The following is a 12,017-nucleotide window of genomic DNA, read 5'->3' on the forward strand; positions in this document are numbered from 1 at the left end:
GCCACGCATATCATTGCTTGATCAAACTCTATGAGTTCTTCTGTGACTTGCTTTTTTTTTCTTGATATTATGTTTTTGAGATTTCTCCAGGCTGATAATTTTCACTGCTATCTAGTCTTTCCTGACGGCATATATTATGGTTCTCTATCCATTCTCCTACTCAGGGACTGTTGGATGGTGCGTATCTACTAATGCAGTGTGCAAGAATTTTCTCTAGGGCCAGTGCCTAGGAGTGCAATGGCTGGGTTGAAATCTGACACACTCTGCCTTTTAGTTGGGGAATTTAGACCATTTACATTTATTGTGGCTATTGATTACTGGTTTTGGGCAAATCAATAATGATGTCTTTGTCAAGATGTGTGTTGGCCTTTGATCAAGGCTTGGGTCAGGGTTACAGCTGGATGGGGCAGAGATAGGCTGAGAGAGTTCCTCTCTCAGGTGGTAGGTGGCTGAGGTCAGCTGGCTGGTGGGGGCTGAGGCCCCAGCCAGCAGGCAAGGAAGGTCTGGCTGAGGCCACACAGCCCTACCAGGGAGGAGGCCTGCCAGCTGCCACCTGCCCCAGGGACCTGATAGAGGCTTCCAGGAGGCTTATCCCAGCAAGTGTTCAGTGGCTTCCAGTCTGGGGATAAGTCCTCGACTGAGTGTGGTCTGTCTGCCATCTTTCACTCCACATCTGCACATCTGTCCAGGGACAGTGGAATGACTGAGCAAGCTGTCTGCCCCAAAGGGTGATGGGCTCGAGTGGAGGAACTCTCTGATGTCCTTCCTCAGGGTGCATGCTCTATAGGCCCCGGATCTCCTGCCTGTTCTGAGATGGCCTTGTGTGGTAGGGAGGTCCCAGGAGATGGCCATGCCTAGCATCTTCTCCTTAGGCAAGCAACCCTGAAGTGCAGGACCAGCTCAATTGCTGCAGACAGTGTTCATTTTCCCCAGGGCAGCCCTTCAGCTGGTCCCCAAGCTGCTCGTTAGAAGCAGGGGCCTCTAGTAGAGCTGAGGAATCCAGATGTGGCATAGATGAGGAGGGCATCCCACCCCTAGTGGGCTCTCGGTTTAATTCTGCAGTGGAAAGGGCCACTTTGTTGCAGGTCTCTTTATGGCATGGATGTGGAGGGTAAATTTGAAGCCTCACCAAACAGCTTCCTGCTCCTGGAGCCTGGACCATTCCTTGGGGACCTCCAAGAAGAGTCTGTGCCTGGGGACTGCTCCTCACAGCCCTACCTCCCGTTCTATTTTAGGTATGTCCAGTGCAAAAACAGGGAAATGAAAAAAATAAATGTATATGAGCTTTCAGCTGAGAAGAGGCAGGTGGAGATGCCTCCCAGGAGACTTTCAGGCCAGAGTCTCGAGAATATTCAGACTCACTCCCAGCTGGGGGGAATGTGGAGCATGGACACCACCCCCGTTTAGAGGTGAGGATCCAAGGCCCCAGACTTCTGAAAAAAACGGATGCTCCATCCTGGATCTCTCTGTAGTATTTCTGCATGCTAGCTCTGCACACCTCATTCTCTTAATAATAGGATGTAGTCTATTTTTTACCCCTGAGATGTAATTTAAATATAAATGCAGCATTTGGCCTATGTATACATCAAAGTCTGTATGTGGACCAGTTAACCTGCAAACCTGTGGTGATAGGGACCGCCCCACTGGGAGAACCCAGGGTCCCTTCCTGGCAGCTTAGGCCTACGGGGTTCTATTTCCGTCTTCTCTCTGCGGAAACTTGCTCAGCAGACACTGTCCATGCACATGGCTCACCCAGGGCCCTGACCCAGATAGTAGCTAAGCCCTGAGCACATCCGCAGGGAAGCCTGGCTCAGCCATCCATCACAACCACACAGCTGGTGACAGCCGAGCAGGGGGCGCCCTCATGGCCTGAGAAGGCAGCAGGATGAGGTAGCTAAGTTCTGGGTCTCGTTGCCCTTGCTGTGTGGCCCAGGGCAAGCCACTTTCCCTCTCTGGGCTATCTGGAATGTGGCCTGGAGCTCACGACATCACTCTGTCCTGGAAGCCAGTGATGGGATCTTTACAACAATCCTTCAACAGGATGCTCTAGATGGTGACGGCTGGAATTCATTTCAGTTTTTAAATTTTTATTTATTTTGGCCAGACACTGTGGCTCACACCTGTAATCCCAGCACTCTAGGAGGCCGAGACAAGTGGATCACCTGAGGCCAGGAGTTCAAGACCAGCCTGGCCAGCATGGTGAAACCCCATCTCTATTAAAAATACAAAAATTAGTCAGGCTTGGTGGTGCACACCTGTAATCCCAGCTACTCAGGAGGCGGAGGCAGGAGGATCACTGGAACCCAGGAGGTGAAGGTTGCAGTGAGTCAAGATTGCACCACTGCACTCCAGCCTTGGTGACAGAGTGAGACTCCCTCTTAAAAAAAAATTATTTATTTTTATTTTTTATAGAGACAGTGTCTCACTTTGCTGCCCAGGCTTGCTTCAAACTCCTAGCCTCAAGCGATCCTCCGGCCTCAGCCTCCCAGTGCGCTGAGATTACAGCTGTGAGCCACTGTGCCTGGCCTGGAATTCACTTTAGCCACACACCTCTGAAAACACAGGCCAGTTTGCTATTCCCCTTTCGCAGATGAGGAAACTGAGGCTCTGGTAAAAGAAAGGACTTGTCTAAGTTCACATGAATAATTAGGTCAAGGGAGGCCCACCTGAGGTCTGGTCCTGGACATGATGTCCTGGGGACATATTTTATGCAGAGACCTGGGGGAAACAGTGCTTAAGACGGGGCATGGGACCTCCCAACACCCCCACAGACAAACTCTCCACCCAGGCACAGGATAGTAGAAAAGTTGTTACTGGAGGCATCTGAGTGCCCCCTGGGAACCTAGGGATAGCCCCCCAGCCATCTGCAGGTGCCCAGGGGTGAGCCATGCTCCTGCTTCCCTCGCTGTCTCCCTCCCTCCCTGCTCTTTCTCTTTCAGCAAATATTTGTTGTTGCTGTTGTGAGCCGCTGCCATGGTTACAGGCATCCCCAGAGCTGAGGGTCCAAGTTGGACTTGAAACCTCTTTAAAAGTCAAGACCACAGGAAACAGCTGCTTCTTAAAACCCCGGTCCTGCAGGTGACCACATCTCATCACCCCAGGCTGTAGGCTCTGTGCCAGCTGAGGGTTTGGGGAAGTGGAAGGGGAATCTTCAGGTTTTCACCAGGCCCAGCAGCCCTGGAGTTGGGGGACAGCCTGAGACCACAAAGACCAGCCTTGGGCAGACACCTCAGCATTCCTCCCTGCCCTGAAGAGGTGCCACTCCTGCACAGCAGGGCACCAGCCTCCAATAAACCCAGGTGACTGAATTCCCGCAGGGCGCCCCTCCTCACCAGCTGTGCGACCCTGAGTGAGTCGTGGTGGTCTGACGTGTTTGCTCATCTGTGAAATCAGGGCGATGAACCCTTGTGGGCTTATTTTGAGGAGTTAAGCCTTCCAAGCTTAGGTCACGCTTGCTGAGTAGGGCGGTATGGTTGCCGACGGATGGAAAGCCCAGAGGTCTGATGTGGCACCAGCTCCAACAGATGCAAACCCTCAAGTTTGCATTTCTCTGCACAACTTCCTCTTTGGGTGATTGTGAGCTGCTGTTTTCTGCTTGGACCAGGGAGAACAATAGTCTTACACAGCAGAGACTTCTCCTGAGGACTGAAGGAGCTGACTGTATTAGCTATTGGTTGCTACGTAACGAATGACTCCAAAACTTACCAGCTGAAGACAACAAATGTTTAATATCTCACTGTTTCTGTGGGTCAGGAGTCCAGGAGTGGCCTTGCTGGGTAGTTCTGGCTCAGGGGTCTTTCATAAAGTCACAATCAAAATGTTGGCCAGGACCAGGAGCATTGGCTCATGCCTGTAATCCCAGCACTTTGGGAGACCGAGGCAGGTGGATCATTTGAGGTCAGGAGTTTGAGACCAGCCTGGCCAACATGGTGAAAACCCATCTCTAAAAAAAAAAAAAAAAATACAAAAATAAACTAGGCATGGTGGGGCATGCCTGTAGTCCCAGATACCCGGGAGGCTGAGGCATGAGAATTGCTTGAACCTGGGAGGCAGAGGATGCGGTGAGCCAAGATTGTGCCACTGCACTCCAGGCTGAGTGACAGAGTGAGACTCCACTTCAAAAAAAAAAAAAAAAAAAATAGTTGGCCAGGGCTGCAGTCCTGAAGACTGGACTGGGTGGGAGGAGCCCTTTCCATGATGGCTTCTGCGCATGGCTGTTGGCAGGAGGCCTCAGTTCCTCACAACGTGGGCCTCTCCAAAGGGTTGCTCACGGCAGTGCGTGGTAGCTCACGCCTGTAATCCCAACACTTTAGGAGGCTGAGGTGAGAGGATCGCTTGAGCTTAGGAGGTCCAGACCAGCCTGGGCAACACAGGGAGACCCCATCTCTACAAAAAGTAAAAAATTATCTAGGCATGGTGGAGCACCTATGGTCCCAGCTATTCAGGAGGCTGAAGTAGGAGGATCGCTTGAGCCCAGAGGTTGAGGCTGCAGTGAGCCATGATTGCACCACTGCACTCCAGCCTGGGCTGCAGAGAAAGACCCTGTCTCTAAAAAAAAAAAAAAAAAAAAAAAAACACAAAGGGCTGCTCATGACAGGGCAGCTGGCTTCCCAGGGTGAGCAATCTGAGAAAGCGTAATGTGGTTTATGACCTAGCCTTTGAAGACATGCCCTCACTTCTACTGTCTTGTACTGGTCACACAGACTAACCTTATTACAATATATGAGAGGCTGTGAATACCAGGTGGCAGAGATGGCTGGGGCCATCTCTGGCCCCCAGTTCCTGCTGTGAGTTTGGCTATCATGGCAAGGAAGGGACTCCCCCAGGGCCCAGCATGCAGCATATACTCAGCGTATGGGAGATGACACAGTTATTCTACAGTACACAACCCCAGAACCTAGAATGCCTCAGGGTTGGAGAAGGAAATGCAGGAAAGAGACCAGACCCAGAAGTGGGACCGCAGGCCCCAATGGAGGCACATTTCCTGGACCAGGCAAAGAGACCTGGTGCCCAGCCCTGCTGTGCCAGGTGGAGAAGGGGCAGGAGGAGGACCCCAGTGAGGATACAAGCTTGCAGGAGCCAGGTCACCAGCTCAGAGCCAGGGCAGCCCAGGTCAGTCAATGGCCAGGAATCCAGCTGAACCCTGCACCCTGCCTGTCCCTGCCCCACAGATCAGGGAGGCATCTGGAGTGGGTGGAGTGGGCCCCCTGGGTGCTCTTGTCCTTGGAGTTCCCCTCTGAAGCTGCCATCACCCTGCGATAATCCAGTCCTGCGTGCTCTGCTCACACGCCCTATGGGGTTTCCTGAGCTATCTGCTGCGCCTTACCGAGTGACTCCTTACTCACCTGGGTTCCCACTGCTTCATTCACCTGCTTTGGAGCGAAGCACTTGGAAGGTGCAAAGAGCCTAGAATGAGATTCTCTCCACGCACCGACTCCCTCCTTCCTGCCACCCAGGAAAATGCTCAAGGGACACAGCCTCAGAGGGGCCTTCCCAGACCTCTTCCTCTCCTGTGCCCCATCCTTCCCTCCCTCTTACGGCACCTGCTTTATGATCTCTAGAGCACGATGACTTCCCATCGTCATCTGGTGTGTTTATTATTATTATTATTATTATATTTAGAGACAGGGTCTCCCTTTGTATCCCAGGCTGGAGTGCAGTGTCGCAATCATAGCTCACTGCAGCTTTGAACTCCCAGGCTCAAACAATCCTCCCACCTCAGCTTCCCAAATAGCTGGGACCAGAGGTGCATACTACCACATCCAACTAAATTTTTTTTTTTTTGAGATGGAGTCTCAGTCTGTCACACTCAGTGGCGCCATCTCAGCTCACTGCAACCTCTGCATCCCGGGTTCAAGTGATTCTCCTGCCTCAGCCTCCCAAGTAGCTGGGATTACAGGCGTATGCTGCTGTGCCCAGTTGATTTTTGTATTTTTAGTAGAGACGGGATTTCACCATGTTGCCCAGGCTGGTCTTGAAAACCCACCTCGGCCTCCCAAAATGCTGGAATTACAGGCGTGAGCCACTGCACCCAGCCAATGTTTTTGTATTTTTTACAGAGCTGGGGTCTCGCTATGTCGGCCAGGCTGGTCTGGAACACCTGGCCTCAAGCACTCTTCCTACGTTGGCCTCCCAAAATGTTGAATGTAAAGAGTGAGCCACCATGCTTGGCCTCTAGTGTGTCTCTTGACTGCTTGTGTACTTTTTTTTCTTTTTCTTTTTTTCTTTTTTGAGATGAAGTCTCACTCTGTCACCTAGGCTGGAGTCACCTAGGCTGGAGTCATTCTGTCACCTAGGCTGGAGTCACTCTGTCACCTAGGCTGGAGTGCTGTGGCGTGATCTTGGCTCACTACAACCTCCACCTCCCTGGTTCAAGCAATTCCCCTGCCTCAGCCTCCTAAGCAGCTGGGATTACAGATGCATGCCACCACGCCCAGCTAATTTTTGTACTTTTAGTAGAGATGGGGTTTCTCCGTGTTGGCCAGGCTGGTCTCGAACTCCTGACCTCAGGTGATCCGCCTGCCTCGACCTCCCAAAGTGCTGGGATTACAGGCGTGAGCCACTGCTCCTGGCCTGCTTGTGTATTTTCTGTCCCCATATGTAGGACTGAAAGCAGAGACTGGGTCTGCCTTGTTCATCGTGCACTCCCTGAGCCCAGCCTGGTGCCAGGGCTAAGCAGCTTCTCCCATGAGTATCTAGAGAGTGAGTGGAGGATAATGAAGAAGGGAAGATGACTCCTAGGCCAATCCAGCTGACACTCACTTTCTAAGCTGGGGGAGCATCTAACAGGCCCGAGGGAGTGACCAGTCTTTTTTACTTTATTTATTTATTCTGATACAAAGTCTCGCTCTGTCGCCAGGCTGGAGTGCAGTGGCACGATCTCAGCTCAATGCAACCTCTGCCTCCCGGGTTCAAGCAATTCTTCTGTCTCAGCCTCCTGAGTAGCTGGGATTCATAGGCATCTGCCACCACACCCAGCTAATTTTTGTATTTTTGGTAGAGACAGGGTTTCACCATGTTGGCCAGGATGGTCTCAATCTCTTGACCTCGTGACCTGCCTGCCTCAGCCTCCCAAAGTGCTGGGATTACAGGGGTGAGCCACCGTGCCCGGCCAGTCTTTTTTATTTTTGAGACAGAATCTTGCTCTGTTGCCCAGGCTGGAGTGCAGTGCTGCGATCTCAGCTCACTAAAACCTCTGCCTCCCGGGTTCAAGCGATTCTCCTGCTTCACCCTCCCGAGTAGCTGGGATTACAGATGCCTGCCACCACACTCAGCTAATTTTTGTATTTTTAGTAGAGACAGGAGTTTCACCATGTTGGCCAGTGATCCGCCCACCTCAGCCTCCCAAAGTACTGGGATTATAGGCATGAGCCACCGCACCCAGCCTGGAGCAGCCATTCTATCTTGAGCCCCAGGCAAGCACAGTCCCTAAGGCTCCAACTCCCCAACACCTGGAGACCAGAGGCCAGGTCAGCTTTTCCAGCTACAGTTTCAGACCCAGACAACATTTCCTTTTCAGCACAAGCATGTCCTCCCCATTTCCATCTCCACTGATCCGGATCAGGCTAGATTCAGAAGCATGCCCAGGCGAAGGCTGAGGGAAGGATGAACCCAATATTAAATTCTAATGAGCTGGGAAGCAAAGGAGAAGATGAGACTGATGCCAGCCCAACTGGAATGTCAATCATGTTTTCTGCAGGAACATGGAAATTTTCACGTCTTTTCTTGGAGTCCTGCTCCAAGAGTGGTTTCCAGGCTATTCTATTGGGTGAATGTGAGTGATTAACTGTAAATATGGGGCAACAACTTGGCTCAGCAAGAAGAAATGAAGGGGCTCCCCTGCCAATGTGGGTGCCATTGCCAGCTGTGTAATTATTAACTGCCTGTTGTGTACTAGCTGCTGCGGGAGGTCCCTGGAAATATCCCAGGACATTGGTCTCTGCTCAGGCTGTGGCCCAATGGTGATGCCCTTTCTTCTCCATCTGTCTGTACTCTGCCCCCATCCTTAGGCCCCAGCTCATCCCTCCTCCTCCAGGCTGACCACCCAGCTGACTTCTCACCCACATTGGCATAGCAATTAATAGCATGTGTGTGCTGGACACTATTGGCCTCCACATTCGCTTTTTTTTTTTCTTTTTAAAGTTGGGGTCTCGCTCTGTTGCCCAGGCTGGAGTGCAGTGGTGCAATCATAGCTCACTGACGCCTCCAACTCCTGGGCTCAAGTGATCCTCCTGCCTCAGCCTCCCCAGTGGCTAGGACCACAGGTATGTGCCAGCACACCAGTCTAATTTTTATTTTATTTATTCATTTATTTAGAGATGAAGTCTCCCTCTTCTTGCTCAGGCTGGAGTGCAATGGTACAATCTCGGCTCACTGCAACCTCTGCCTCCCAAGTTCCAGCAATTCTCTTGCCTCAGCCTCTGAGTAGCTGGGATTACAGTCATGTGCCACCACACCTGGCTAATTTTTGTATTTTTAGTAGAGATGGGATTTCACCTTGTTGGTCAGGCTGGTCTCAAACTCCTGACCTCAAGTGATTAGCCTGCCTCAGCCTCCCAAAGTGCTGGGATTACAGGCATAAGCCACTGTGCCCAGCAGCCTGGTCCTTGTTGAAGGCCCTGAGCCGACCCCATGGGAGCATCGGGCGTTCTGTCTTTTGCACCATGAAGCACACTGGCTAAGATCCAGCTATCTAAGTGCAGCTCAGAACAACCTGCCTACAGGTTTCCAGGCCATTCCCTGGGGACTCTGACTCAGGGAATCTGTGAGGGCCCAGGATTCTGCTTTGTTTATGAACTCCAAGATGATTCTGATGCTGATTCACTGCAGCTTTGAACTCCCAGACTCAAGAGATCCTCCCACCTCAGCCTCCCAAATAGCTGAAACCACAGGCTATGGGGATGACAGCAGATGCTGCTTGGTGAAATACCAAGGCTGCATGGCAACGTGCACTCTTGGAGAGGTTGTCTGCTATGGGACTGAGAGCAGGTGCCCCAGATTGAGGCAGCTTGGGTCAGACCCCACTCTGTCCCTTCCAGCTGTGTCTCCTTGGGCAATTCAGCGATGAACTCCGGCTCAGTTTACTCATCATACACGGCCTGCAGGATGGATCCGTGCACCTTCCATTCTCAACCCAGCAACCGGGCAATCTCTAAAGCCCAGATTCAGCCTCCTTCTCCCTATTGGAGGGTGTCCTTGTTTCCACAGTAAGCTCCAGGACCCGCAGTAGGTAGACAATGCTCTATCTGCTCTGGTCTCAGTTTTTGTTCCAGTTAAAGACCAATTTCTTGGTTCCAAAGGCAGCCAAGAGCTATTCTTTGTCTCTTAAATAAGTGGGGCTTCCCATGGGGAATACAGTGCCAGGTACAAGGAAATAAGAGAGGAGGGATTCTAGCCATCTTTAGTTGAGTACTGGCCAGCACATGTATGTGAGAAAATTACTGGCTGGGCGTGGTGGCTCACACCTGTAATCCCAGTACTTTGGGAGGCCAAGGCGGGCGAATCACCTAAGGTCAGGAGTTCGAGACCAGCCTGGCCAACATGGTGAAACCCCGTCTCTACTGAAAATACAAAAATTAGCCAGGCATGGTGGCAGGTGCCTGTAATCCCAGCTACTCAGGAGGCTGAGGCAGGAGAATCATTTGAACTGGGTAGGTGGAGGTTGCAGTGAGCCAAGATCATGCCACTGCACTCTAGCCTGGGCGACAGAGTGAGACTTCTCTCAAAAAAAGAAAAAAAAAAATTACCTGAGGCCAGGGAAAGAATCGCCCAAAAGGATTAGAAAGAACAATTCAAGGAGCTCACGCAGGAATGGGAATAGTTTCTGTTCCCTCCAGCCAGAGTAGAAATCCTCATAATTCACAGGGTATCAGGGAGAATATTCAGAAGGGTCTTGCCTCAGTAGTGGGGGAAAATTAACCCCAGACTAAACACTTCTCTGGTTCTACCTACCAAATCTTAAAGAGTAAGCCCTGAAAGGATGAGATTGTTAGGGAAGCAAGAGCCTCAGAGAGCCAGAGTAGCACCATTTTAAGTTCAGCTCCATCTTGAGACTAACAAGGCACATTCCTTGCCAGTTACAACCCACGGTCATAAGATGTTTACAGCTAAGAAAGCAGATTAGTAATGCCTGCAAGGACAAATACCTACAACAACAGAAAGTCCTGATGTCCCAATATCCATAACAATACATGCTTTCAAAATAATTATAGTTATGCTTTAATGTACTTACCCGCTAAAATGTCAAGGATAGTTTTCTTTAAATCAATAGAATAATACATTTTGTCATGCTGTCTGCCCGCCCACATGTAGACATGGCTTGCTTTAGTCTTTACATAGATAAGACTTCTATATAAGAAAAACTTAAAACAAGGACAGTGCATTCCTTCTCTTGCTTCCTGAGGATGCCCTACTCCCTAAGGAAGTAGGTTTCAATAAACTCTCTCTTTTCACAGCACTCTGCAACTTGCCTTGAATTCTTTCCTATGTGAGATCCAAGAACCCTCTCTTAGGGTCTGGATTGAGACCCTTTTTCTGGTAACAAAATGGTTTCCAAACTACTTATTTATTTATTTGAGATGAGGTCTTGCTCTGTCGCCCAGCCTGGAGTGCAGTGGTGTGATCACAGGTCACTGCAGCCTCAACCTCCCAGGCTCCAGTGATTCTCTGGCCTCAACTTCCCGAGTAGCTGGGACTACAGGCATGCAACCACCATGCCTGGCTAATTTTTTGTATATATATATGATCCACCCACCTCAGCCTCCCAAAGTGCTAGGACTATAGGAATGAGCCACCATGCAGAGCCCCCAAACTAATTAAAGATATCCCCAAATAAAACAGAACATTTGTGGTAATACAAAATTACCCAGAACCCAGTGAGGGAAAATTCACAATGTCAGGCACCCAGTCAAAAATGACCAGACATTCAAAGAAGCAGAGAAATACAACCAAAAATGAGGAGAAAAAGCAACCAATTAATGCTGAGCCAGAATTTGTAGAATGGCCAGAAAAGGTCATATTCCATGTGTTCAAGAAGCTGGAGAAAAGATTGAGCATTTTAGGTAGAGATATGGGTGATATACCCAGAAAAGGTCCAGATTGTACTTCTAGGTATAACAATAACAAGGTCTGAGGTGAGCCATTAGTTCTATATTTGGTGAAGCCATCCTTTGGGAATGAAGGGGAAATAAAGACATTCTCATATGAAGGAAAATGAAAAGAATGTGTTGCAAGTGGATTTACCCTTAACGTTTAGCTGAAGGAAGGTTTTGTAACAGAAAGAAAATGATAAAAGAAAGAATCTGGCCAGGCGCGGTGGCTCACGCCTGTAATCCCAGCACTTTGGGAGGCTGAGGCAGGTGGATCATGAGGTCAGGAGATCGAGACCATCCTGGCCAGCATGGTGAAACCCTGTCTCTACTAAAGATACAAAAATTAGCCAGGCATGGTGGTGCATGCTTGTAATCCCAGCTACTCAGGAGGCTGAGGCAGGAAAATCACTTGAACCTGGGAGGCAGAGGTTGCAGTGAGCCAAGATCATGCCATTGCACTCCAGCCTGGGCAACAAGAGTGAAACTCTGTCTCAAAAAAAAAAAAAAAGAAAGAAAGAAAGAAAAAGTCTTGGAGCATCAGAAGGGAGAAGGAACAATGAGGAGGGCAGAGATCTGGGTCACATACAATAGACTGTCCTTCCCCTCCTGAGCTTTATAATCATATTTGATGATTGGAACAAAAATTATGAAACCATCCAATACTCAAGACCAAGATATTTAAAAGTGGGAAAGAGAAAAAGACCAAAATTGCAATGAGGTCTTACTAGGAGATTATAATAAATTACATACGTGTATTGTAATACCCAGGGCAACCACAACAAAAACTAGACAGAGAGATGCACTGAAAAACACTACAAAAAAATGAAGATGACAGATTCTGCAGCTCTTCCAAACAATCAGTAGATCTGCCTGTACTGACATGGGAAGATGTCCAAGACACTCGGTAGTAAAATAAAAACAAGCTTC

The 12,017-nt window shown here is 49.8% G+C and overlaps 1 annotated feature.

The window, feature by feature from the left end:
- Positions 4,548-4,607: an enhancer, noted in NCBI's record as "active region_26308". NCBI's record gives its function as "activates an Ori minimal core promoter by ATAC-STARR-seq in GM12878 lymphoblastoid cells {active_cell/tissue: GM12878}" and the evidence as "EXISTENCE:reporter gene assay evidence [ECO:0000049][PMID:35858748]".

Source organism: Homo sapiens, chromosome 7 (assembly GCF_000001405.40).
Source record: "Homo sapiens chromosome 7, GRCh38.p14 Primary Assembly".
NCBI lineage: Eukaryota > Metazoa > Chordata > Mammalia > Primates > Hominidae > Homo > Homo sapiens.